Genomic DNA, 25,844 nt, shown 5'->3' with positions numbered 1-25,844 from the left:
ATCTGAAGAAAAGCGTTTGGACTGTGGTGTTTGAAAACAAGCCTGTGTGTTCTGCAGTGAAGCCGCACACTCACCCCTTTGGTTCTTTTCTAGGCTTTCTTATCTTCACAGGCAGAAATGGCTTAAACGGGAGTTTCTACAATCGACTAAGCTTCCGACACAGCAGAATCCCACGATCCCACAACCCATTTGTTTTTTACGTGAAACAGGCCTCGGGGGAGAGATTTGAGGGGGTTTTATTCTTAAAACGGCACATTTGTAGAGAATGCCCTTTATATATGTTCTAAAGAAAAGTGTACAAATACTCAATGATTAAAGTGTCTCTGAGAAAGTGGCTTCGGACCACACCAGCATCTGGTCCTTTTGCTGTGACCCACCCCATCCCGGAGCTGGTCGGGTCTGGCTGGATGTGCTGCCCAGTGAGTGCCTCGCTCGGTAACTGCTTGGTCCTGAACATTCTCTCGTTTCAGGAACTGATGAGGTTCTCTTCTTTTGACTGATGGAGATTACAAAACTCTTGGATTCCTGGAAAACAAGACGACAGGCATAGAGTGCTAATGGCTTGTCTACCCCTTGACAGCCCTGTCCTGTGCTGGGGAGGGCTGTGTTTTGACAGGGGTGGAATCCTCTGGCTAGTTCCATAAAAAGACCTGTGTCTGTGATGCCCTGAGTCTTTGAAAGTGACCGGAATACCTCACACTACCCATCTTGCTCATAACCAGTGGCTGCGGCCTTCCTCGGACCATCTATAGATGGAGGATTCTGGGAATGCTGTTTCCTTACCCTTGACATCATTCTTCTAGGCAAGTAAAACCCAGCCACAAACTCAGAGACCACAGCTTTAACAAACACTGACACCTCTGCCCTAACTCTGGGGCCTCTGATGGCTGCCACTGGCTGAATGTGGCCTGCACGTGGGTTTGGTCTGGCTCAACAAAGTTTTTATTTTTATTTTTTATTTTTTTGAGACACGGTCTCACGCTGTTGCCCAGGCTGGAGTGCAGTGGCGCGATCTCGCCTTACTGCAGCCTCCGCCTCCCAGGTTCAAGCGATTCTCCTGCCTCAGCCTCCTGAGTAGCTGGGACTACAGGCATGCGCCACCACACCCGGCTAATTTTCATATTTTTAGTAGAGACAGTGTTTCTCCATGTTAGCCAGGCTGGTCTTGAACTCCTGACCAGCCTCAAGTGATCTGCCTGCCTCCTTCACCCAAAGTGCTGGGATTCCAGGTGTGAGCCACTGCACCTGGCCTTTTTTTTTTTTATCAGTTACTTTTAAAAATGAATTACTTTATCCCTTTATTGGGATGTATTTCCTAAGCCATAAATTTCACCCTCACCATGTTTTTTAAACTATGAATTAATTCACAATACTCACACATTGAGAGATTTCTCATGGACTCCTGGCTTCCTCGGCTATGGGGGCCACTCTGTGGTCATCACAGACCCCACCACCCACCTGTCCTTCCACACCCCTGGCTCCTTTATGTTGCTTCCTGCCCCACAGGCATCTGCATTTAGTACTCATGGAAATACTTACTCTGAATTATACTTCTGTAGGCTAACGTGGCTGGGGAATCTGGGGCGTCAATGAAAAAAGACTGGCCTTTGTCACAATTCTTACCTTAAAAAAGAAACAAACGGAAGACAATTCAGTCCAAGAGGAAAACAGAATGGCCACAAGATCTTGGGGCTCTTTCCGTGCTGGTGACAATGGGAAGATCTTGAGCCCGCTTCACTCGTAATGAAGAACAAAGTAGAAAAGACCAGTGGGGTCTCAGGGACCTTCCTTCCAGCAGGGTCCCCAGCCAGCATTTCAGCGTGGCTAAATAATCAGGTGGTGTACAGAAAATGCAGGTTCCAGGGCCCTACAGAGAACTGATTCAGCAGCTTCCACATGGGCCCAGGAGTCTGCATTTTAAGAGATTAGCTTTTGAGTGAAAGGATCATGAATGCACATGGTTAAAAAAAGTACAGAATGCAAAAGGATATGGCATAAAAGGCCAAGTCCGAAAAGGGCTACTAGTGTTCTAGGTGTCTTTCCAGAAAGATTATGCGCATATAAATGTGCACACTTGCATGTGTGCGCACACACATACACACACTCTCATATACCTAAAATACGAATGGGAGCACATGACACACACATTCTGCCTGCTGCTTTGTCTGTGTATAATTTTATCTTCCAGGTCATCTGTGCTGGTGTCTATCAGTCTGCTAGTCTTTCCCCGCCATGTGGCCATTGTTCCAGTCCCCTCCTATGCACACCCAGGTTTCTCTAGGACCATGTTATCCCAGAGCCAGGTGGACAGGACACAAGGGGCTAGGGGTCAATGGGGGTGTTCTCGCCTCCAGTCTGCCCTGCCAGCCCCCAGTCGTGGGTGGACCTGCCATCAGCTTGCTCTGCCCACTCCCCAGGCCTGAGCTGCTGGCGAAACAGGCAAGTGACTGCACTGCCCATGGCCGGTCACCAGCCTCAGGTGAACCCCAGGAGGGGTTCCTACCTAGCACTCATCATTTCCTCAACTTCACTACTGTGTCGCCCTGTGGGACAGGGAAGTCCAAGTCGGGGAAGAAGCCTGTGGGGAGGGGTTGGTGGGAGATGGGGAGCCCATATGGCCCAGTGAGTCAGGAAAATAGGGTCCAGAGGCAGGGAACATAAGGCCAATTCGCACTTGAGCCATAACAGGAAATGTCCTCTCCATAGGACGTATGCCGTAAATGACTTTGTAACTTTACTTCATCCTTTTCGTTTATATAGGGCGTACCTCAAGTAGAGGGTATTTAAACACAAAAACTCTGTAATGGGGCCTTTGAGCCCCTATTCTCAGGCCCGTTCTCCTCCCACACCGTGGAGTTGACTTTCATTTTCAATAAATCCCTTCCTTCCTTCCTTTCTTTGTGCGTTTTGTCCAATTTTTTGTTCCAGACACCAAGAACCTGGACATCCTCCGCCGTTAACGCTGGGCCCATGAGACCATGTGGAACTCGCTAGGGAGGCCCCTGAGTGCACGTTCGCTGGGCCAGACCTGGGAGGTTGGGGATCCCAGAATAGTCATGCTGGGGCTACTTTCTGTCCCTGACTTTCACCCAGGTCTCCCTTCCCCAGAGGGCTCCCCAGCCCCCAACACACATATATGCTCTAGTGTTTTCCCTTCCTAACTGCATTTCCCCCTGGGCTCCCACCTCTCCAAGAACGGGCAGCATTATCAGAACAGCTGGTGTGAGCACAGCCCTGTTCCAAGAGATCCCAGGCATCCTCTCACCCCACCCTGGCAGATCCCTCTCACTAGGCACCACTGTCACCTGCATTTTACACACGGGGCCATCGAGGCTGAGAGCGGAAATGACTAGCCCAAGTCCCACAGCTAGTGGTGGCGGAGCAGGGCTCTGAGGCCAGCCCTTCCTGTGATCCTCAGCACACCGGGACCAGGACCCATAGCACCAGAGCGCTGGCATCTGTAACTCTTTGCCACCATGTCCCCAGAGGAGACTGAAGTGCTGTCCTCATGCCTTCCTGTCTGTTCCTAGGAAGGTGGGTTTTCCCCCACTCTGTCCCCAGTGACCTTGCCAGATGCGTGTCTGTCACTTGGCCCTCATGCTCCACCCTCTTGGGTGGGTGACAGTGTTAACCACCCCTTCCTTTCTGGCACTCCCTGGCCTTGCTATCTGTGGCTTCCCCTCAAGGTGAGCTTCTGCAATGTGCCATTTGACACACAGGACCATGCCCACTAGAAGGCACTTAATGTTCTCAGCTCAGAATGAGCCTCGCAGCTGTCACTGGTGGCTCCTCTGCTTTGAAATTAGCTCTTGTGAACCACCTGGAACTTTGTTTCTTTGTGAAAAGTGGCCCTGAAAGGAAAGACCAGGGCCAATGCCAGGGCTTGGTGTGAGGGAGGTGGGAAGATGGAGGTTGCTGGCTCTTTGGAAGAAAAGCCGTATCAGGATCTAATAGCCCCAAGGTCACTTCCTGATCTGTCAGACAATGGCAAGGGCAGGCCTGTGGCTGGGCCCGTGGACATATTTGGGTGGGTCAGCAAGCATGCCATTTTTAAATTTTTTTTTGAGACAGGTTCTTGCTCTGTCGCCCAGGCTGGAGTGCAGTGGTGTGATCATGGCTCACTGCAACCTCAACCTCCCTGGGCTCAAGTGATCCTGCTAACTCAGCCTCCTGAGTAGCTGGGACCACAGGCACATGCCACCACACTGGGTGAATTTTTTCCTTTTTTTTTTTTTTTTTTTTTTAAGAGATGAGGTATCTTCCTGTGTTACCCAGGCTAGAGCATGGTTGTGTGTGTGTGTGTGTGTGTATTTAATGGAGTTAGTTGCTATCATTTAGTATCAGGAGACTTTGGGTAAGGATATAGATTTCTAGCTCTTCATTAAACCTTGGAAAATGTGGCAATTGTGATGGCCATAAGGACACACCTCTTGGATCTCTGGCAGCAGCTGCCATGCTCCAAAATCCACCACCACGTTTGTGTTGAGGCAATGCCACTCCCAGGCTGCTCCTAGCTAGTGACTGAGACGAGCATGGCACTCGGGCAGGCACGCTTCTGGGAGATGCAGCCCCTCTGATGGGTAAGTGGGCTCAGGAATGCCCTGGTGGCTGTGCCCAGCTTTCCTCGACAGCAGCCAAGACACTCCAGCAGACAGATGCTCCAACAGACTGACATACTCCAGCAGACTGAGATGCTCCAACAGACTGACATACTCCAGCAGACAGATGCTCCAACAGACTGACATACTCCAGCAGACTGAGATGCTCCAACAGACTGACATACTCCAGCAGACTGAGATGCTCCAACAGACTGACATACTCCAGCAGACTGAGATGCTCCAACAGACTGACATACTCCAGCAGACTGAGATGCTCCAATAGACCTACTCCAGCAGACTGAGATGCTCCAATAGACTGACATACTCCAGCAGACTGAGATGCTCCAATAGACTGACATACTCCAGCAGACTGAGATGCTCCAATAGACTGACATACTCCAGCAGACTGAGATGCTCCAATAGACAAATACTCCAGCAGAATGAGATGCTCCAATAGACAAATACTCCAGCAGACTGAGATGCTCCAATAGACTGACATACTCCAGCAGACTGAGATGCTCCAACACACTGGCATACTCCAGCAGACTGAGATTCTCCAATAGACAAATACTCCAGCAGACTGAGATGCTCCAACAGACTGGCATACTCCAGCAGACTGAGATGCTCCAATAGACTGCCACACTCCAGCAGACTGAGATGCTCCAATAGACAAATACTCCAGCAGACTGAGATGCCAAAAAGCAAAGTACACTGAGGTGCTCCAGCAGGCTAAGATGCTCCCATGGGCTGAGATGCTCCAGTGGGCTGAGACGCTCCTTCGGGCTGGGATGCTCCCGTGGGCTGAGATACTCCTGTGGGCTGAGATGCTCCTTTGAGTTGGGATGCTCCCGTGGGCTGAGATACTCCTGTGGGCTGAGATACTCCCTTGGGCTGGGATGCTCCAGTGGGCTGAGATGCTCCTTTGGGCTGGGATGCTCCCATGGGCTGAGGTACTCCTGTGGGCTGAGATGCTCCTTTGAGTTGGGATGCTCCCGTGGCCTGAGATACTCCTGTGGGCTGAGATACTCCCTTGGGCTGGGATGCTCCCATGGGCTGAGATGCTCTTGAGGGCTGGGATGCTCCCTTGGGCTGAGATGCTTCCAGGGGCTGAGATACTCCTATGGGCCGTGATGCTCTTTCGGGCTGATATGTTCCTTCCCCCACTCCTTCATCGTGGGCTAACGCTCTCCCTTGTCATTTTCTCCCACAGATGTTTCCCCTGACAAACGTCCTGCCCACCAATCCCATCTCGGCAGAGCTGAACTGTGGCAGAGGTGCAGGCTGGCAGGAATGGATGTGCCCTGGGCTGCTGCAAGCTCCTGTCCCCAATCACATCCATTCATGCAGCCCAACTGCCTCCAGGGGCCTCAGAGGGCAGCTCTCATCACCACTTCCGGCCACTGCAAAAGCTGCCTGGTGAGTGTTTTATGATGCTGGGGAAGGTTGAGAAAGCAGCTGTACTTTTCTGCATGTTGTTGGGGAAATCACATGCCAGAGAAGTATTGTGGGATGTGGGAATAAGGGAAAAAGGATTTGGGGACACAGCCTCCTGGGCACATGGGGTCTCTGGCGTTCTCCCGGGCTGTTCCCATCTTCAGAGTGGCCCTCGCACCCTACCCCCCTACCACTTCCTCGAGGCAGCCATCCCCCAACACTGTCCTCCTGGCTCCCGCTTTCTGCACGGCCCCTTGGCAATCCTGTCCATGTCCTGTGGCTTCAAAACTCAACTGCACGGACATGAACCACCTTCTCCTGACGGACCCCAGAACCTGCTGACAACCTGAGCCCCCGAGCCCCTTAGCCGCAGCACCCCAGAGGGCCCGGCCTCCCTCTACCACCCCTGCTTCACTGTCTCTGAGGGACGGACCCTCCTCCAGGTGACTTGTACTGGCAGCAGGGACAACCTTGACCCTCAGATGCCGTCACTTTCTCTCTTGTGTGTGTCCCTTCCTTTCTACACCAACGCCAGAACCCAGGGCCTCATCCTGAACCCCTATCCCAGGGCAGCCACTCCTGAGCCTCCTGTTCCCAGGCACATGACACTGACAGTCGTTTCCCACAGGCTCCCATTCTCCCCATGCAGCCCTTCCCCAAGGCTCCCCACGTGGCCTCCGCCCTCCCCGCCTCCAGGCTCTCCACGGGCCCCGCCCTCTCCCCAAGCACGCGGCCCCCACCCTCTCCTGGCCAGGCCATACTTCACCCGCCCGGCCCCTCTCTCCTGTCCCGGCACAGACACCTCACACTGGCCTTGGTTCCCTGACAAATGGAGTGGAAGTTCCGAGGCATGGGTGCAGCCGGCACTCCTGGATCCCGGCCTCCCCTCCAGCCTTCTCTCTCTGTTCTCCCCTCAGACCTAAAGGCGAGTGCTGGACGCCCCGCAGGAGCCCCACTAAAGGGCCCCAGTAACGGAGGCCCGCCCGGCTCCGCGGTCCTGGGGGACAGCAGCCTCCTGGGGGAGCAGCTTCGAGTGTAGGCCCTGCCCAGCGCCCCGCGGCGAGTGGGCGCCCGGCGGGCGTGTGGGTGGAGACGTGAAACCCCGTCCCTCCTTCAGCCTCAGGGCCACTCAGGGAGTGGGCATCTCTTGGGATCCTGGGAGACCCACGTACTTAAGAAGAGCATTTTTTGGGAACTTGGCCCCTGCTCGCAGGCCAGTGATCCGCGTTCCGGTCTGTCCCGGTGCTGGAGACAAAGGGGCCTCATCTGTGCCGTGCTGGCTTCTCCGGGCACAGGAGGCCCGGCCCCTTCCTAAGGGATTTTCACCTCAGGCCGCCTTCCTCTGTAACCTGGACGCCATGTGCATCCCCTGGAGCCGCCCCTCTATCGGGTGCCCTCCTCAGTCCCCTGCCACCACCACCCTCACCAACCTCTACCCCATTCTTCCAGGCCTCACCCCTCTGCCTGAGGCCTGCTTGCTCCCGCTACCTGCCCGCAGGGGTCTCGGCCTCTCTCCCGGTGGCCTCTTGGGGTGCCAGCTGGAGGGTGGGTCTGGCTCCAGCGCCCCATTGACCCTCCTCCTTCCATTGCCCCTCTCTGTAGCCGCCCCCTGTTGTGCCCGACCCGTGCCTGTGGGGCTGACCGAGGAGTGAGGTGCCGCCCCACACTGGGGTCACCCACCTATGAGCGGATCCAGGGGCACTCTGCCGAGGAGAGGGACCTCCAAGTCCTGGCACATGAGCTCCGCGCCCCCGGTTGTGGGAGGGAATATCTGAGATTCTTTCTGCAAGGCAAATTCAAAGGGGAGGAAACATAATTTTTTTGCAGAATCACAAGGATGGACCACATTTTAAAGAAACTTAAAAAAAAAAAAAAGGCTTAGTTTGAATGTGGAACCCTTAACACCTAAAGAACTTTCCTTTAGTCAGCAGAAAGGGATTTTAATTGTGATTCCACTTCCCAAAATGACAGGGAAAGCAGAAATAGTTTGCAGAGCAGCCTTCCGATCGTTTCCTCATCCATGAGAGCAAGATCTTGCTCGCCTGGCAGCCCCACGCGCCCTCACCTTGCACTTAGGACAGATGAAGCCACTCATGTTCTCCACCACCCCGATGATGGGCAGCTTCACCTTGCGGCAGAAGTTGATTTCTTTCCGGACATCCTGGAGTGACACCTCCTACGAAGGTGAAAAGACCAGTGATTCCAGCATCAAAGTGCGAGAAAGGGAATGTCTGTGCAACCGAGGGGATGGCTGCAATGCAGTGGATCTGCGATCATAAAGCCTTAGAGGTTTCTGCCCTGATAGGGTTTGGCTCTGTGTCCCCATCCAAATCTCAGCTCGAACTGTAATCCCCATCATCCCTACATCCCTACAGGAACAGGCAGTTCCTGGTGGGAGGTGATTGGATCATGGGGGCAGTTTCCCCCATGCTGGTCTCGATAGTGAGTTTTCACGAGATCTGATGGTTTTGTAAGTGTTTGACAGTTCCTCCTACACACTCTCTCTCTCACTGCTGCCACTGTGTAACATGTGCCTGCTTTGCCTTCCACCATGATTGTTAAGTTTCCTGGGGCCTTCCCAGCCATGCAGAACTGTGAATCAATGAAACCTCTTTCCCTTATAGGTTACCCAGTCTCAGGCAGTTCTTTACAGCAGTGTGAAAATGAACTAATGTATGCCCTCTGCCAAATCCATATTTATTTAGTACCTACTAGTGCTAAGCCCTGTTTGTTCGAGGTGCTATTTACTTCCCACACAGCCAAATAGCAAGAAATCAACCTAAAAGAAAATGACTTTTTTTTTTAGAGACAGGATCTCACTGCTGCCCAGTCTGGAGTGCAGTGGCATAATCATTGCTCACTGCAGCCTTGACCTCCTGGGCTCAGGCAATCCTCCTGCCTCAGCCTCCAGAGTAGCTGGGACTACAGGCATGTGCTACTCTGCCTGGCTAACTTTTTAATTTTTTATAGAGATGGTTGTTGCCCAGACTGGTCTTAAGCTTCTGGTGTGAAGTGATCCTCCTGCCTCGGCCTCCCAGAGTGTTAGGGTTAGAGGCGTGAGCCACTGTGCCTATCTGAAAATGACCTTTTAACGCATCTACATGCTCCATGTCCCTATACTATACTATATTAAGCCAGTGTGTGCACTGTTTTCTAGACCAGAGCTTGGCAAACCCCAGCCTGGGGGCTGAATCTGGCTGGTTTTATAAATAAAGTTCCTCCGGAACCAGCCATGCCCGTCCCTCTAGGCACCGTCTGTGGCTGCTTCATGCCACAGTGGCACGGCTAAGGGGCTGGGACAGGGACCGTGGGGTCCGCAACGCCTACTTCCTATCTGGCCCTTTACAGAAAAGTTTGCCAATCCCTGCTCTAGATAATTATAAACACAAACAACTGACTAAAAGGAAATAAGGAATACTGCCCAATGTGGACAACTTTGCATTTCCTTCTCAACTCTGAGTTTTTCCAATGTGATTACTGTGTATAAACACCGCTCAGTAGCTCCCTATTTTCCTCAGTTAATGTTATCACAGATCCCTGTACCCAAGTCCTGCTGTGGCTTGTCACTGTCAGGTGTAGTGACTCCTTAGCACCTGGAGCTTCACCACTCACGTGAGCCCGAAAGGCTCGCAGCTTTGGGCCTGTTCTTTTCCTGAGATGCCTGTTTGGCTCTTGACACTGAGGCTGGGATGCGGAGGAAGGGGCGCTCAGCTAGAAAGTCAATGGGCTGCGACTCAGTCTCTCATTTCTTTCTTTCTTTTTTTGAGACAGAGTCTTGCTCTGTCGCCCAGGCTGGAGTGCAGTGGCGCGATCTCGGCTCACTGCAACCTCTGTCTCCTGGATTCAAGCACTTCTCCCACCTCAGCCTCCCAAGTAGCTGGGATTACAGGTGCCCACCACCACGCCTGGCTAATTTTTGTATTTTTTTGGTAGAGACAGGGTTTTGCCATATTGGCCAGTCTGGTCTCGAACTCCTGACCTCAAGTAATCTGCCTGCCTCGGCCTCCCAAAGTGCTGGGATTACAGACATGAGCCAGTGTGCCCAGCACCAACCACTTTTTAAAAATGGGACAGAAAACATTCCTAAGGACAAATACACTTTCTCTCCACTGCCATCACCCGGGCCAGGCCATCCTCCCTCCTGTCCAGGGTCCCAGCTGGTGTCCTGCTCCTCCTTGCGTCCCCATGTCCCCTCTCTGCAGGATGCCAGGGTGGACATGAATCTTGCACCATTTTCTGACCCGGACACCCTTCCCATGGCCGCTGGGCCTGCCACTCCATTGGCTGTACCCTCATCCCTGTGTCCAGCACCTGTGTTCCTCAGGGAGCCACAGGGGCCACCAGGGAGAGCCAGGCCTTTTTACTGCCCTGGTGCCCGGCATGTCAGAGTCAGAGCTCAGTGAGTGCTGGATGAGGTGAGACTATGGGTCGTCCTGACTGATTCTGGCCAGTGAGATCAAATCAAACCTCCTTTGCTGGGCTTTCTTAAGTGTGGAGGAGAACGTCATGAAGAGAAGTCAGGCGTAACTGTGGAGATGGAGAAGAGCCCTCAGTTTCTCAGGCCCCTGAGATGGATAGCACCATGGTCCTGCCTGCAGTTGCTCTCTGCAGGACTTACAGAGAGGAAACTTCCTATCGCTCTCCTCTCAGCTCGGGCTCACCATGGGCCTTGGAGTACAGCCACTAGGTGACTGCTACAGAGGGTTGCTGGGTGTCACTACGGAAGAAGCGAAGGCACCCAGTGGCTTATCCCGAAATCCCTATCTGCACCCAGCTGGTTCTGTTGAAAACTGGAGAGATTTCCTAAATCATCCTGGGATGTAAACGGAAAATCCACTGTAGGCTGGGGGACCTGACACATGGACACGGCAAGGCTGACGGGGCCAGGCAGCACAGTATGAATTATAACTGCACTGGTGGTTTCCCTAGTTTCCTCAAGGAAAGTTCAAAAAGCATTCTTGACCCACTATTGTTTAATCCATGGACTAAAAAAAAACCAAATCGTTGAATGGTTGTCAGCTGCAAATGTCTAGACCAAAGATGAAGTTTTTCTTATTTTTATCTTTTGGGACAAGGCCTCACTCGCTTGCGCTGGCTGGACTGCACTGGCGTGATCATGGCTCACTGCAACCTCCTTTCCCCAGGCTCAAATGATCCTCCTACCTCAGCCTCCCAAGTAGCTGGAACTACAGGCGCGAGCCACCATGCCTGGCTAATTTTAAAATATTTTTTGTAGAGATGGGGTTTTGCTATGTTTTTCAGGCTGGTCCCGAACTCGTGGGCTCAAGTGATCCTCCCATCTCAGCCTCCCAAAGTCCTGGGATTACAGGTGTGAATCACTGTGCTGGCTGAAGTTTTTAACACGAGGTTTCTGCAGACCCACATCAGATGCAGCTGCGGAACACACACTGGGAAGAGCCTTGGTGAGACCAGAGTATCAGAGCCAGGTAGGAAAGAAATCTCACAGTGTGGAGCACAGTTTGGACCCAGCTCCAGCTGGCAGCTCGCTCACCTGGGGAGTGGTGATGATCACTGCTCCATCGATGTGTGCTGTGGCCAGGTACCGGACGACCGAGAGGTGTTCATCCGACGTCCCAGGTGGGGTGTCCACAATGAGGTAGTCGACCTCTCCCCAGTCCACATCTCGGAGGAACTGCTTGATCATGCCTAGAAAGAGGAATCCACAGGGGATGCTTACTTTTCCTTTCTTTTCTGTACTTTCAACTCCCTCTTTTTTTTTTAAAGGATGGGGTCTTGCTATGTTGCCCAGGTTGGCTCTTAACTCTGAGGCTCAAGCAATCCTCCCACCTCAGCCTCCCAAGTAACTAGGACTATAAGTGCGTGCCACTGTGCCCAGCTCACGGAGAAGCATGATCTGATCTTTTTGTGCCTTTGGTCTATGCTGTAAGTCAGTGGCTCTCAACTGGGAGTGAATTGCAATGTCTGGAGACATTTTGGGTTGTCACAAATAGAGTAGGGGGTGCTACTGGCATCTTGTGGGTAAAGGCCAGGGACACTGTTTAACACCCTATGGTGTAGAACACGGTCTACTCCTCCCCCCAACAAAGACTTATCTGGCTCAAAATATCAATAGTGCTGAGGCTAAAGCTTGCCCTGATAACACTTTCACATTATTACCTTAAGTCTCAGTACCAGATCAACCTCCTGTTGATCTCACCTCTCTGACCCAAATAAGCCACTATAAAACCATGATAAAAATAATTTCAGGGTTCTATAGCTTTTTTTTTGAGAAAAAGTCTCGCTCTGTCACACAGGCTGGAGTGCAGTGGCATGATCTTGGCTCACTGCAACCTCCGCCTCCTGGGTTCTCCTGCCTCAGCCTCTCGAGTAGCTGGGATTACAGGTACGTGCCACCATGCTCGGCTAATTTTTTATGTTTTTGGTAGAGACAGGGTTTCACCATGTCGGCGAGGCTGGTCTTGAACTCCTGACCTCAGGTGATCCACCTGCCTCGGCCTCCCAAAGTGCTGGGATTACAGGCGTGAGCTACCACACCCGACCAGGGTTCTACAGCTTTTAAGGAGAGAAAAACTCACAGCAGATATTTATAATTACGTAATGGAAACTGGTATTTCTATTAGCTCTTTTCAACCAGTGAAGAAAGAGGCACTGGATGGTTAAAAATAATATACTGTGAAGTCCAGCAGGCTGAGACTGGCAGGACAGGGAGCAGATAAAGCCAAGAGCCACAACGCTCGTGGAAGAATGTGAGAGACAAAAAAAGGCAGAGTGGCAAACCGTTTTTCTTGGGTCCCCTCCAGATAACAGCATCATCAGGACTGCTGAGCAGGAAGCCCACTGACATCACCCCCAGGTTGTCTTCCACGTACTGCAGAGGGAACAGGGTGAGGGCAAGACACGCTTTACTCAAAACCACACAGTGAGGCCCTCCCCCAGGTCTTCTGTTTGAGCTCTGACTGAAAAAAACATTTTCAGGACAAAACTACCATGTGACCTATGAGCATATTCACTCTTTGCTCCTAAATCATTTTTGGAAAAAAAAAAAAGGGTACCATGTTGGGGGATTTGAAAGAGGCACTGTATGTCCATGGGCTGCAGTGACGGCAATGACAGGGAACTCAGCTAAAATAAGTAAATGTCATCTCCTTAACTCTTTTATTTTTTTATTTTTCATTTTTTTGAGATGAAGTCTGGCTCTGTTGCCCAGGCTGGAGTGCATGGTGCAATCTCAGCTTGCTGCAGCCTCTGCCTCCCGGGTTCAAGCAATTCTCCTGCCTCAGCCTCCCGAGTAGCCAGTGTTACAGGCGCGTGCCACCATGCTCGGCTAATTTTTGTATCTTTAGTAGAGATGGGATTTCGCCATGTTGGCCAGGCTGGTCTCGAACTCCTGGCCTCAAGTGATCTGCCTGGCTTGGCCTCCTAAAGTGCTGGGATCACAGGTGTGAGCCACTGCACCCTGCCTCCTTAACTCTCTTAACCAGAGATTTACAAACTATGGACTTCAGGGCCAAATCTGGCCCACCATCTGTGTTTGTAAATAAACTTTTATTGGAATACTGTCCTGGTTGTTCAGTTACATATTACTACTTTTGTGCTACAACAGCAAGGAATGTAGGCCCACATGCTGAAAATCTTTACCGTCCCACACTTTACAGAAAAAGCCTGCCAATCACTGGTTTTAATCACATCCTCTGTGCCTCGAAAAGTACCCTAATAAATACCTATGGACCAACAAACCACAAACCCATTATGTACACACAACCACACACTACTGTGAAAATAGGGCAAAGAGGTGAAAACTCACCACTGGAGACCAGCCTGAGCCACTCTGGTGAACCTGTGTGAACATGAGCACCGATGTTCATTAGTAGAAATCATGTACCCTGGTCACATTTCATGCACAGACAAATTGTACAAAGTAAGACGATGGTTTTTTAAAATATAATTCATTGTCTTACATGGTACCACGAAATTCCTAAAAGGAGGTGAACAGCTAGGGCGTGGGTAATAAAGATGCAACTCAACTCCCTTTGTGCCCTAAGCTGGGTTATTTGGAAACTCTACTTGGATGTCTAGATAGGGAACCAAAGTTACTCAAGTTCAAATATGATGTTGTGTCTAAGGTATCTTAAAAGAGTCATAAAAATCGGCTGGGGACTGATGAGAAAATGCAGATACCTGTGGAGCAATGAGGTGGCTTTTGTAAAAGCACAGGAGTGAAGGGAATGAGCTCTCACGAAACAGCTGATTCAGAACCTGTCCCCAATCAGCTCCAGCCACAAAGGGGAGCTTCCTGGGGCAACAAGATTCAGACCTCTTCCCCCCAGCAGGTGTCCAGCAGCACACAAAGCGCACACTGAAAGTTTAATTTTCTTGATGAAGCCTTACTTTTCTCAACAGATTTACTGAGACATGATTCATAGACAATATGACTCACCCATTGAATGAGTGGCTTTCTGTACAGTCACAAGCATGCAGCCATCACCACAGTTTTATTTTTTATTTTTATTTTTGAGATGGGGTCTTGCCCTGTCGACCAGGCTGGAGTGCAGTGGCGTGATCCTGACTCACTGCAACCTCCACCTCCCAGGTTCAAGTGATTCTCCTGCCTTAGCCTCCCAGGTAGCTGAGATTATAGGTGCCCGCCACCATGCCCAGCTAATTTTTGTATTTTTTGTAGAGACGGGGTTTCACCATGTTGGCCAGCCTGGTCTCAAACTCCTGACCTCAAGTGATCCACCCGCCTTGGCCTCCCAAAGTGTTGGGATTGCAGGTGTGAGCCACTGTACCCAGTCACCACAATTTTAGAACATTTGCCTGACTCTTAAGAAGAATCCCTATACCCCTCAGCTGTCACCACCCCCCACAGTCTGTCTCACATCCTCCCAGCCTTACAGGACCCCTAATCCACTTTCTCTCACTGTGGACTGACCTATTCTGCACATTTCATGTAAGTGGAATCACACAACATGCGGTCCTCTGTGACTGACTTCGAAGTTCTATTAAAAGACACCCAGCCAGGCACAGTGGCTCACACCTGTAATCCAAACACTGCGGGAGGCTGAGGCGGGAGGATCACCTGAGGTCAGGAGTTCGAGACCAGCCTGGTCAACATGGTGAAACCCCAACTCTACTAAAAATACAAAAAATAGCTGGACGTGGTGGCGTGTGTCTGTAATGCCAGCTATTCAGGAGGCTGAGGCAGGAGAACTGCTTGAGCCCGGGAGGCGGAGGTTGTGGTGAGCCGAGATCGCGACACTGCACTCCAGCCTGGGCAACAAGAGTGAAACTCTGTCTCAATAAAATAAATAAAATAAAATAAAATAAAATAAAATAAAATAAACCCCACAAAACCATTCATTCCTATTTACACTCGTTTGCTAAGTCCATTTGTCTTAAAAGAGGGGTAAACAGGATGATCCAATAGTGCAGGAGAAGAAAATAGGGAAACTTCTATTTTCTTTTATTTTAAAATTTTCTGTTTCATGAAATAATTACGTGTGATGACAGTAGCTTATACCTTCACTGTGGCGTGTGCTACCAAATCCATTGGGGTATGTGACCAAGCCTCACAGGGTGACATCGCTCTCCTTCCCTACTCCCTCGGAAGCAAACCCCAAGGCCTTAGAAGTGCCTGCAAGGCCGGCCCCATCTGCTTCGGGCCACCCTCCAGCCCCTCTGGTCACTCCACTGAGGACACAAGGACACCTTGTGTCAGCGGCCCATGCAGTTGCTCCCTTAGCCCAGAATGCCCTTCCCCCAGCTCTCCCCTCCTGTCATCCTCTGCTCAAATGCTATCCCTCAGTGAGGGCACCTTTGACCACCCCTCAGCCCCTCTGACTCTGCCCTACTGTCCATCCCCTCACTCTGGGTTGGTTTCACATTATCTAGCATCTGCCTTCTCCCACCCAGACAGGGGTCTTCATGGACCTTGTTCACCACTGCATCCCCAAAACAGGATTAATGCATTCCTGGCACTAATTAAAGAAAGAACCAATCTTGAGACTCTCGGGACATCCCAGCACCCCCAGCCCCAGCTTCCATGCACTGCCCTTGGGGGAATCCTCTCTTGGAGAGCTTCTTGCTAGCAAGAAGAGGCCAGCAACTACATAGACTGCTACAGCCCTGCCCCCAGCCCACATCGCTCACCCGCCCTGCAGTCTCAGTTCCCCAGGGGAGACCACAAGGGCAGAAATATTCCCTTGCTTCCAGGGTACAGACCCATAGCAAGCCCTGGTCTAATGTTCCCAGTCAGAGCTAAATTTCCGTGTCTTACTTCTGCATTTCACTGGCTGTTTCCCTTCCCCTCTGAGGAGGCATCGAAACCAATGCTTCTCCAATGGTGTAGACAGACTTCATATACAATCCCGCCCCTCCCCCGCCAAGACTCACAGTTGTTGTTAAAAGTAGACAGATGGACTACTGAGCATGTATGAGCTCCTCATGTCCACATAAACATTTACAGGCCAGGTGCGGTGGCTCACGCCTGTAATCCTAGCACTTTGGGAGGCTGAGGCAGGTGATCACTAGAGGTCAGGAGGTGGAGCCCAGCTTGGCCAACGTAGTGAAACCTGGTCTCTACCAAAAATACAAAAATTAGTTGGGCATGATGGCACACCACTGTAGTCCCAGCTACTCAGGAGGCTGAGCACAAGAATCGCTTGAACCCAGGAGGTGGAGGTTGCAGTGAGCTGAGGTTGCACCACTGCACTCCAGCCCGGGCGACAAGAGTGAGACCTTGTCTCAAAAACAACAAAACAAAACAACAACAAAAAAACATTTATGGGCTCCGCATGCCTCTTTGTTGAGGTTTGACAGTTCAGTGCTACAGAGTTTGCCTTAAGAGAATAATTTCCTGAGTTCTGTAACCGGCTATTACCTGCTCTCCTTCCAATCCCATTATCTTGGGAATCGATGGCCCACATATATCGATGTCTAGAAGAGCAATCTGGGGACAAGAAGAGACCAAAGCGGTTATATAACTGAATGCACACACTCCAGACACACACAACTAGGAGGGGAGCGGGGTTAGAGGAAAAGGACAGGGGAGAAGACAGAAACTGGGTTAAACTTGGAGCCATCAGATTCTCCTGAGGGAGAGTCCTAACGCTGATCTCAAGGTTCATAAACACTGATGCCCCCATTCCCCTACCCCTCAGCCTGGCTGAGCTCCTCAAGGGTGATCTTACAGACCTGGCTGTCAGGTCACTTGGAGGCTCGGGCTCAGACCTTGTTTACTGAGCCCTGGTTGGAGGAGACGGGGAAAGGGACCTAGCGCCTGTTTGGCTTGTGTGACAGAATGGATGGAACAGCCAAGAGACGGCAGTGTTGGAGCCACCCTAAACAGCTCTCTTTTGCTCACCCCTCACCAAGCCTTGGTCTCTGCATCTTAAATTTTTCTCAAACTCATCCTATCTTGTTCAGGAGTCTCAGATACAAGCCAAATCTAGACTATTTAAGCAGAATATGAATGTATTAAAAAATATTGGGGGCTGGGTGCAGTGGCTCACGCCTGTAATCCCAACACTTTGGGAGGCTGAGGCGGCCATGTGCCTAGAAGGTAAGTATCATTATCTCTGGTTTACAGAGGAGGAAACTGAGGTTCAGAGGGGACCAGTTCAATAAGCAGGGAACAGAGCTGGGACATAAACTGAGGTCTTTCGGCCCCAACTGGGGCTCTTTCCAGTACACCACGGGCCTGCTGTGGAGGACCAGAGTGGAGCCTCTAGCTGAACCCTGACCAAGCCCTGTTTTCCTTTGATCCTGAAGGTGAATGATGGTTTAGGCTAAACTTACAGAACAGAAACTTAAAGTAAGATGGAAACCTGGAAAAGCTCTTTAGTTGTGACTCAGGTGCAGCTTCAGGCGACCCCATTCCACCCCAAGCCTTCCCCTCTGATACAGGAGGTCTGAGACGGCCTTCAGGAACCTTCTGAGAACAGGGCTAGTATTCATCTTGAAAGCTGCAATGACTCGGATCCAAAGTGCTGCACCTCCGCGTCACTTTTTAACTTGCCCTGAATTAGTTTCTTGCCACCCTCTTCAATCCTCTCAACAAACCCAGCCTCCTACTTCCTCAGCACCCAGCGCTGTCTCAAACTTGTGCACGGGAAAACGCCATCCACAGACCAGCACTGGCCTCAGGTGCCCTCTATGGAGCCATCCGGGGAGAACAGCAGAGCGACATCATCGGAAAACCTGACTTGCTCTCTCCGGACCTTGATACTTGGGACTGATGTGTCAATGATCCACGGGGAAATGACACTATCACTATGACTGTGATAGAGACTTTCCTCGATACTCTCAGGTTTCTAGTGACTCTGTCTCCATGCCCTTCCTTTAGGGAACAATTTAATCAATTCCCTTTAGAGGAATTTCACTCCCTTGGGGAGTGAATCTTGAGCGAAATGATGTAAGGATATGAGAAGCAGATCCAGCGCACTCTCTCACTCCCGTGGCAGGCCCGAGAGGCTGTTGACAAGCTCCTGCTACCCAGATGGCCAGGACGGCCCTGGGTCCTGTCTGTTCAGACTTCCTGTTGATCTTATTACTACCCCAAAATCTGTCCATTTAATTTTGCTTAGGTTAGGCCAGAAAAGCAAAGCTGAGAGCAATGCGCCTGCGTTCCTCCCAGCAGGACCTCTGGGCCTGTGTTTGCAGCTGATGGGAAGAGGCCGCGTTTGCTGCAGAAGGTGGAGATGCTGCAAGGCTGTCGGGACCCAAAGCGTCTCCTTTACTCAGCACCCCAAACTGCCCCTGATGAGGAGGGTAGGGGAAGAGGGATTTAGTCCTAACTTTTAGTCCTTGCACAAGTTGCTTCTGCTTTCGAAGCCTTGGCTGTCTGGGCTTCTGATCTGTGAGACAACTGCTCCGGGGTCATCAAGGCCCCTCTCAGCTCTGCAGTCCCAGGACCCAGAGGAGGGCCTCGCACACTCAGTCCTGAAACACCTAGTGCTGACCTTGTTATGACAGTTTGCCTTTCAGATCACAAAGATCATAAATGTTTAATTTATGGTGGCTGGGTGTGGTGGCTTACGCCTATAATTTCAGAACTTTGGGAGGTTGAGGCAGGCGGATCACCTGAGGTCAGGAGTTCGAGACTAGCCTGGCAAACATAGTGAAACCCTGTCTCTACTAAAAATACAAAAATTAGCTGGGTGTGGTGGCACACGCCTGTAATCCCAGGTACTCCAGAGGCTGAGGCAGAACTGCTTGAGCCCGGGAGGTGGAGGTTGCAGTGAGCTGAGATCACACCACTGCACTCCAGCCTGGGCAAAAGAATGAGACTCCGTCTCAAAAAAACAAACAAAAAAAGTTTAATTTATGGAAGTTGGTGACTTGTTATTTATTCATTGTTTTTGAGGTAGAGTCTCACTCTGTTGCCCAGGCTGGAGTGCAGTGGCATAATCACGGCTCACTGCAGCCTTGACTTCCCAGGCTCAAGTGATCCTCCTACCTCAGTCTCCTGAGTAGCTGGGACTACAGGTGCTTACCACCACACCTGGCTAACTTTTTTTATGTTTTATGTTTTGTAGAGACAGGGGTCTCACTTTGAAGCCCAGGCTGGGAGTCGGTGACTTTTGCAGTGGAAGACAGTGTATGACTCTTGGCTGTCTCATGGCTCAGGCTTATGCTACAGAGGCTCCTTCTGCCTTCACCACAACTTACACACTCCCTGGGCAGCCTGTGACTCGTCAGGGGTGTTTTCTAATTCTGCTCTCTCTTGATCCAAGGCCCTTTGTGCCAATGAGATGACAGGCGCCTGCCTGCCTCAAGCGCTAACATGGAATGGTCTTGCACAGAGTTAGAGCCAAGCTTCCACCAGATGGCAGGCAGAAAAAGGTCAGGGCATGTCCCACCACCCTGCTGGATTTAGGGCAGGGAGAAATCTGTGCTGCTTGACTTTAATCAAGACATATTCAGCATTTTCCATGTGTTGACACTTTGCAGATAGTGATGTCACTGTCATGAGTAGGTCTGCCTGGGGAAAACACACTTTCCTAAATGCTGACTTCTTTTTTTTTTAAACCACCACTGCATAAAAAAATACAGCTGATCTAGCCATATTTCCACACTGAATGGTGTGCTTTCCTTCTGTATACTGCAAAGTCTAGACAGGCATGCAGCAAAGACTTCAGAACGTAATTACATGAAAGTGAAGGATGTAAACAGTTGTCTACTCACAAGTGGTTACTTGCAAGTGGTGAGATGAAAGCCCATCTCCAGTGAGCTGTTTAGGAATATTCCTGACAGCTTCGAAAAGCAAAGATTCTTCTAAACGATACAGACAATCTGAGAAAGCAGATTTCTTGGCCAGCCCACTAGGCCAGTACAGATTTGACCCTCAAATGGCAAGAGATCGCTGACTCACAGAATGACGAATCAACGTGTGTGTGTGTGTGTGTGTGTGTGTGTGTGTGTGTGTGTGTGTATGTGTCTGTGTATCTATCTATATCCTTTTTTTTTTTTAAATGGAGTCTTGTCTGTCACCCAGGCTGGAGTGCAGTAGGGCAATCTTGGCCCACCGCGACCTCCGCCTCCTGGGTTCAAACGATTCTCATGCCTCGGCCTCCCGAGTAGCTAAGACTACAGGCACGTACCACCATGCCCAGCTAATTTTTGTATTTTTTAGTGGAGACAGGGTTTCACCATGTTGGCCAGGCTGGTCTCAAACTCCTGACCTCAAGTGATCCGCCTGCCTCAGCCTCCCAAAGTGCTGTGATTACAGTGTAAGCCACCATGCCCTGCCCAACAAGTGTATTTTGAATCTGCCCAGTACTATACCTTGGGTAGGCTACAAACTCATCTCTAAGGCAGATGTAATCATCATCCCTTCATATCCAGAGAGTGAAATAAAGTAATAAAAATGGTGGCCATCACAGACCTTTACTGAGCATTGACTATTCGTCGGGCCCCGTGCTAAGTGCTTTACTGTGCCATCTCACTCAGTCCTTGGAGTCCCATTTTATAGATGAGAAAACGGAGGCAGAGTAAGCCTGGTAACTTGCCCAAGGTCACAGCAGTGGTGTAGATGGAGCTGGGACCTGAGTTTGGGCTGTCTGACTCCAGAGTGTGTGCTCTTAGCGACCCACCAACCCCTTTTATTAAAGTTGAGATCCAGAGGGCAGCAGTGGGTAATCTGAGTTTTCATGCTCGTCTGTATGCATGGGTGGAAATGAATAAACTCGTGTAAGGGCCAGCAAAAATTTTCCACAAGGGCCAACAGCAAATATATTATTAGGCTTTGTGGGCAAAATCAAGGATCATATGTAGGTACTTAGGTACTAATTTAAAAATTGCAATTTTAGGCCAGGCACGGTGGCTCATGCCTATAATCTCAGCACTTTGGGAGGCCGAGGCAGGGGGACGCCTTGAGTTCAGAAGTTCAAGACTAGCCTGGGCAACATGGCAAAACCTCATCTCTACAAAAAACCCAAAAATTAGCCGGGCATGGTGGCAAGCACCTGTAGTCCCAGGTACTTGAGAGGCTGAGGTGGGAGGATAGCTTGATGAGCCCAGGAAGTAGAGGTTGCAATGAGTCCTGATCATAGCAATGCACTTCAGCCTGGGTGACAGAGTGAGATCCTGTCTCAAACAAACAAAAAACATTTCAAAAATGTGAACATTCTTAGTTCAAAGGCCATAAGGCAGGAGATGGGCTGGATTTGGCCCACTGGCTATAGTTTGCAGGTCCCTGGCTTAGAGAAAAGCTAAAAGGGGTTAATAAAGAGGAAAAAGAAGCGTGAACGTAATGTAATAAACTATCCACATGCAAGGACAGATGTACATCTGCTAGCCATTTTCTTGGCTAGGGAATCCAGTGAAATGCTTCATTTGACTACTGGGCATTTCTTTGCTCTCTGCCGGATTGAGATTCCAAAGAGGCCAATTCAACTTAGTATAAGGAATCATTTTTTTTTCTTCTTGGACAGTCTCATTCTGCCACCCAGGCTGGAGTACACTGGTACAATCTTGACTCACTGCAACCTCTGCCTCCTGGGCTCAAGCGATTCTCATGGCTCATCCTCGCGAAAAGCTGGGATTACAAGCCTGCGCTACCACGCCCAGCTAATATTTTGTATTTTTAGTAGAGACAAGGTTTTGCCATGTTGGCCAGGCTGATCTCAAACTCCTGGCCTCAAGTGATCTGCCCGCCTTGGCCTCCCAAAGTGCTGGGATTACAGGCATGAACCACTGCGCCTGGCCTAGGAATCAGTTATTTAGTAGCCATCACGACCCTCAGACAAAATGAGCATCTCCCAGTGGTTCCTGAGGTCTCACCTGTGTGTTTTCATCCTCTGCTAGGCCATGGGCAAGGTGGGCGCTGAATGTGCTTTTCCCAACACCGCCTTTCCCAGACAATACCAAGATTTTGTGTTTTACAGTCTTCATTTTCTCTTTGATTTCCTCTATAGCTGCAAAGAAAACCAAAGTTCAGGGGATGAGGTCCCACACCAAACCTCGAATGTCACGCTTCCAGTCAACTAGAAAGAGCTAAGTCCTAGTCCTAGTACTAGTCCTGGGGCTGTTTAAAACGATCCTCTGAAATACCTCTCAGACAATGGTAGAAATAAGTGCTAGGAAGAAAATAAGGCTATTATCACACTTGAAGGGGTCTCATTTATTGGTTTACACGTTTGTCTCCCCCAACTAGAACATAGTCTCCACAAAGGTAGGAACTGTCTGAAGCTTTCAGTGCTGTATTCCCAGCTCCAGAAGAGAACTTTGCAAACAGCAATGGTCACCAACTTGGGGACAAAATCCCCCAGAGACATTTGGTAATGTCTGGAGACACTGTTCTTTCTTTCTTTTTTTTTTGAGACAGAGTGTTGCTCTGTCGCCCAGGATGGAGTGCAGTGGCGTGATCTCGGCTCACTGCAACACTGCCTCCTGGGTTCAAGCGATTCTCCTGCCTTAGCCTCCCAAGTAGCTGGGATTACAGGTGCCTGCCACCATGCCTGGCTAATTTTTGTATTTTTAATAGAGACGGTGTTTCTCTATGTTGGCCAGGCTAGTCTCGAACTTCCAACCTCAAGTGATCCACCCACCTTGGCCTCCCAAAGTGTTGGAATTACAGGTGTGAGCCACCATGCTCAGCCTGGAGACACTTTTCATTGTCACAGGAGAGGTACTGCTGGCATTTAATGGGTACAGCCCAGATTGTGCTAAATGTCCTACAATGCACAGGACAGCCCCCCACAACAAAGAGTGATCCTGCCCCAAATGTCAGCAGTGCTGAGGTTGAGAAACTCTGATAGACAGCAGGCACATACTAAGTATCTGCCAATGAAACTATCTTATTTCAAATCCTTAAAACAATACACGAGGTATAAAGGAAATTAAAAAGTCTCATGACTGGCCAAACTCAAGTGAAAGTTAAGCCTGGAAACCTCCCAACACTGCTGTCCTCCTCCCCATCAACAGACAGCTGTTACTTCCCAACCTTGTGTCAAAGCATTCTACATTAACCAGACACCTGCAAAAGGCCAAAGGCCCCATGCAATCCATTGTGGGATGACTGCCCTCACAAGTTGCTCCTAAGGAACTCCTTTGCTGGCCCCTAAATCTTTGAAGATGAGTATCCTCCCATAAACAAGGACATGCCAACTGTAACTTTAGGACTGTAACCTCAGTCTAACTCCTTCCCTATTACTGATGTCTGTTAAACGCCACACTGACCATGTCCATTACAAGCTTATCCTCCCACATGCCAAACAAAGATGGGATGAGATAGTCCTTCCTCTCCTACCCTGAGACGTCTGCCTAATTAATTCTTCCTTTATTCCCTCTTTTGAATGTTTACTTTATTTTCTGAATAGTGTAGATATACTGGGCACGAATTAAAACCTCACAAGAATGTAACTACCTGCCACGAGGCCTACTGCACTTTTTCCTGCATGCTTTTTCCCCTTTTAATGAAATATATAAACACCAGCCTTCTGGAACCACTCCATCGAGCACAGGCCACAGATGTTTCTGTCACTTGTATTTTCCAGGGCACGCCCTCAAGCTCTGGCCCAATAAACCTCCACTGAGGCTCAGTTCAGTCTCTCCATTGCATTGACAGAGATAACTATTTTTCTCTTCATTTTTTTTTTTCTTTGAGACAGGGTCTCACTCTGTCACCCAGGCTGGAGTGCAGTGGCACGATCTCAGCTCACTGCAACCTCCACCTCCCGGGTTCAAGTGATCCTCCCACCTCAGCCTCGAGGGCGGGCATGCACCACCATGCTGGCTAATTTTTGTATTTTTAGTAGAGACAGGTTTCACCATGTTGGCCAGGCTGGTCTCGAACTCCTGACCTCAAGTGATCCATCCACCCGCCTCGGCCTCCCAAAGTGCTGGGATTACAGGCGTGAGCCACTGCACCCGGCCTGTCTCCATTTTTGATGAGGAACCAGAAGCTCAGAGAGGTTAGGACTATTGCTGAAGGTCACACCGCATGGATCCAAGAATCAAATCCAAGTCTCTCTCTGAACTCCTTCAAGATTCTCCCCCTTGGCCAGGTGCAGTGGCTCATGCCTGTAATCCCAGCACTTTGGGAGGCCCAGGCAGATGCATCACTTGAGGTCAGGAGTTCGAGACCAACCTGGTCAACATGGTGAAACTCTGGTTCTACTAAAAATATAAAAATTAGCCAGCCGTGGTGGCAGGCGCCTGTAGTCCCAGGTACTCGGGAGACTGAGGCACGAGAATCGCTTGAACCTGAGAGGTGAAAGTTGCAGTGAGCCGAGATCACACCACTGCACTCTGGTCTGGGCTACACAGCAAGACTCTGTCTAAAAAAAAAGGGGGAAAAAAAAGAAAAAAAAATATTGTCCTCCTGCCTCCTGCTTTTTAAGGTCCTTCTGAGCAGGCTCCCTGGGTCCTCTCATCCTGGAATCTGTGCTTCACAGCACTTAAAGCTGCGGTGGTTTAGTTGCTAGCTCACGTGTTTGTTTCCCCAGTAAAGCTAAACTCCACTAGAGCAGTGACCACGCCTGATCCCCAGCTGTGTCCCCAGGACAGCACCAAACCTACGAGGCGATCAACACATTTCTGCTGAATGAGTGGGAGAATCACTCCTCAAAAGGAAGAAAATTGTGTCAAGAAAGTAGCTGGCAGAGCCAGGATGTAAGTCCGAAGACTCCCCGACTTCGAAGCTTATCCCGTTTTTCTCTGCGGTCTGTTATTGTCACTCAAACCTCTGGCCCCGACCCTCTTAATTAATGTCCCTTTCGACTCCGCGCCGGTCAGTCTCCACCCTCCATCCGCGCCAGGTCCTTCGCGCTCGCCTTCTAAAGGCCTCGTTCCTGTCAGTCATTCCAAGCTCCGCCCTCACCCTGCCCACTTTCCACGCCCCGCCCCTTCTGGGCCCCACCCCTCTCCGAATACAATACCTTCTAGCCTGCCGCTGTCAGTCATTCTGCAGATCCCGCCCCCTCCCTCCCACGCCCCGCCTTTTCCGGGCCTGCGCCTCTAAGTTCCTGTTGAGGCCTTGCCCTTTTCTCACCCGTGTCCGGAGTGGCCCCCGCTCCAGAAGCGCACAGCCGCTGGTTGGGGCATCCCTGACATGAAGCCCCTCTGCCCGCCTGGGCGCTGTCGGCCCCTGGACAGTCTGCGCAGAGACAAGACCACAGTTAGAGCAGCTCCCGACACTTTCGCCCCGCGACCCACGCCCCCTCCGCGAGCTTACCGTGAGGCACCTCCTCCATTCCGTCGCCTTTGCCGCCTTCGTGGTCACCGGAACCCGCTGTCGTACATTTCCGCCTTGTGGGCACAATCTGATTCTCCGACCGCGCGAAATAAGTCTCGGAAAGGGGGCTGTGCGCACGCGCGAACCTTGGGCCG

General features: G+C 50.6%; 2 protein-coding genes across 20 annotated transcripts in view; one reads left to right on the top strand and one right to left on the bottom strand.

Moving 5' to 3' along the window:
• The window catches only part of TVP23A (trans-golgi network vesicle protein 23 homolog A), a 61,477-nt gene extending 49,223 nt beyond the window's left edge, over positions 1-12,254 (top strand). For 5 of the 13 annotated variants that reach the window (NR_134903.2, NR_134905.2, NR_134902.2 and 2 more), the window contains 2 exons: positions 5,809-6,014; positions 8,004-8,660. The gene's annotated coding sequence lies outside the window, so the exon portion shown is untranslated. Of the gene's footprint in view, positions 1-93; positions 7,056-8,003; positions 8,661-11,294 lie in introns of those variants that run through there. The other 8 variants (NM_001079512.4, NM_001318873.2, NR_134906.2 and 5 more) reach the window with 7 other exon arrangements.
• NUBP1 (NUBP iron-sulfur cluster assembly factor 1, cytosolic) lies at positions 221-25,730 on the bottom strand. Of its 7 annotated transcripts, none has more exons than NM_002484.4 (11): positions 25,690-25,730; positions 25,507-25,611; positions 22,296-22,429; positions 16,894-16,962; positions 13,819-13,851; positions 12,792-12,882; positions 11,545-11,699; positions 8,098-8,208; positions 7,713-7,815; positions 1,540-1,623; positions 221-525 (listed from the first exon to the last, which is right to left on the bottom strand). In NM_002484.4, exons 1-11 carry the CDS (start codon positions 25,706-25,708, stop codon positions 467-469), a joined length of 963 nt encoding a protein of 320 aa, NP_002475.2. In that variant the 5' UTR covers positions 25,709-25,730; the 3' UTR covers positions 221-466. The 7 variants fall into 7 exon arrangements, with proteins under 7 accessions (NP_002475.2, NP_001310524.1, NP_001310525.1 ...); NM_001323597.1 differs by having other exon boundaries at positions 223-525; positions 1,540-1,618; positions 7,709-7,815; positions 25,690-25,703; NM_001323595.2 differs by lacking the exon at positions 1,540-1,623.

The sequence above is a fragment of the Homo sapiens genome, chromosome 16 (genome assembly GCF_000001405.40).
Source record: "Homo sapiens chromosome 16, GRCh38.p14 Primary Assembly".
In the NCBI taxonomy this organism is placed as follows: Eukaryota; Metazoa; Chordata; class Mammalia; order Primates; family Hominidae; genus Homo; species Homo sapiens.
This window is presented reverse-complemented; position numbering and strand designations above follow the sequence as displayed.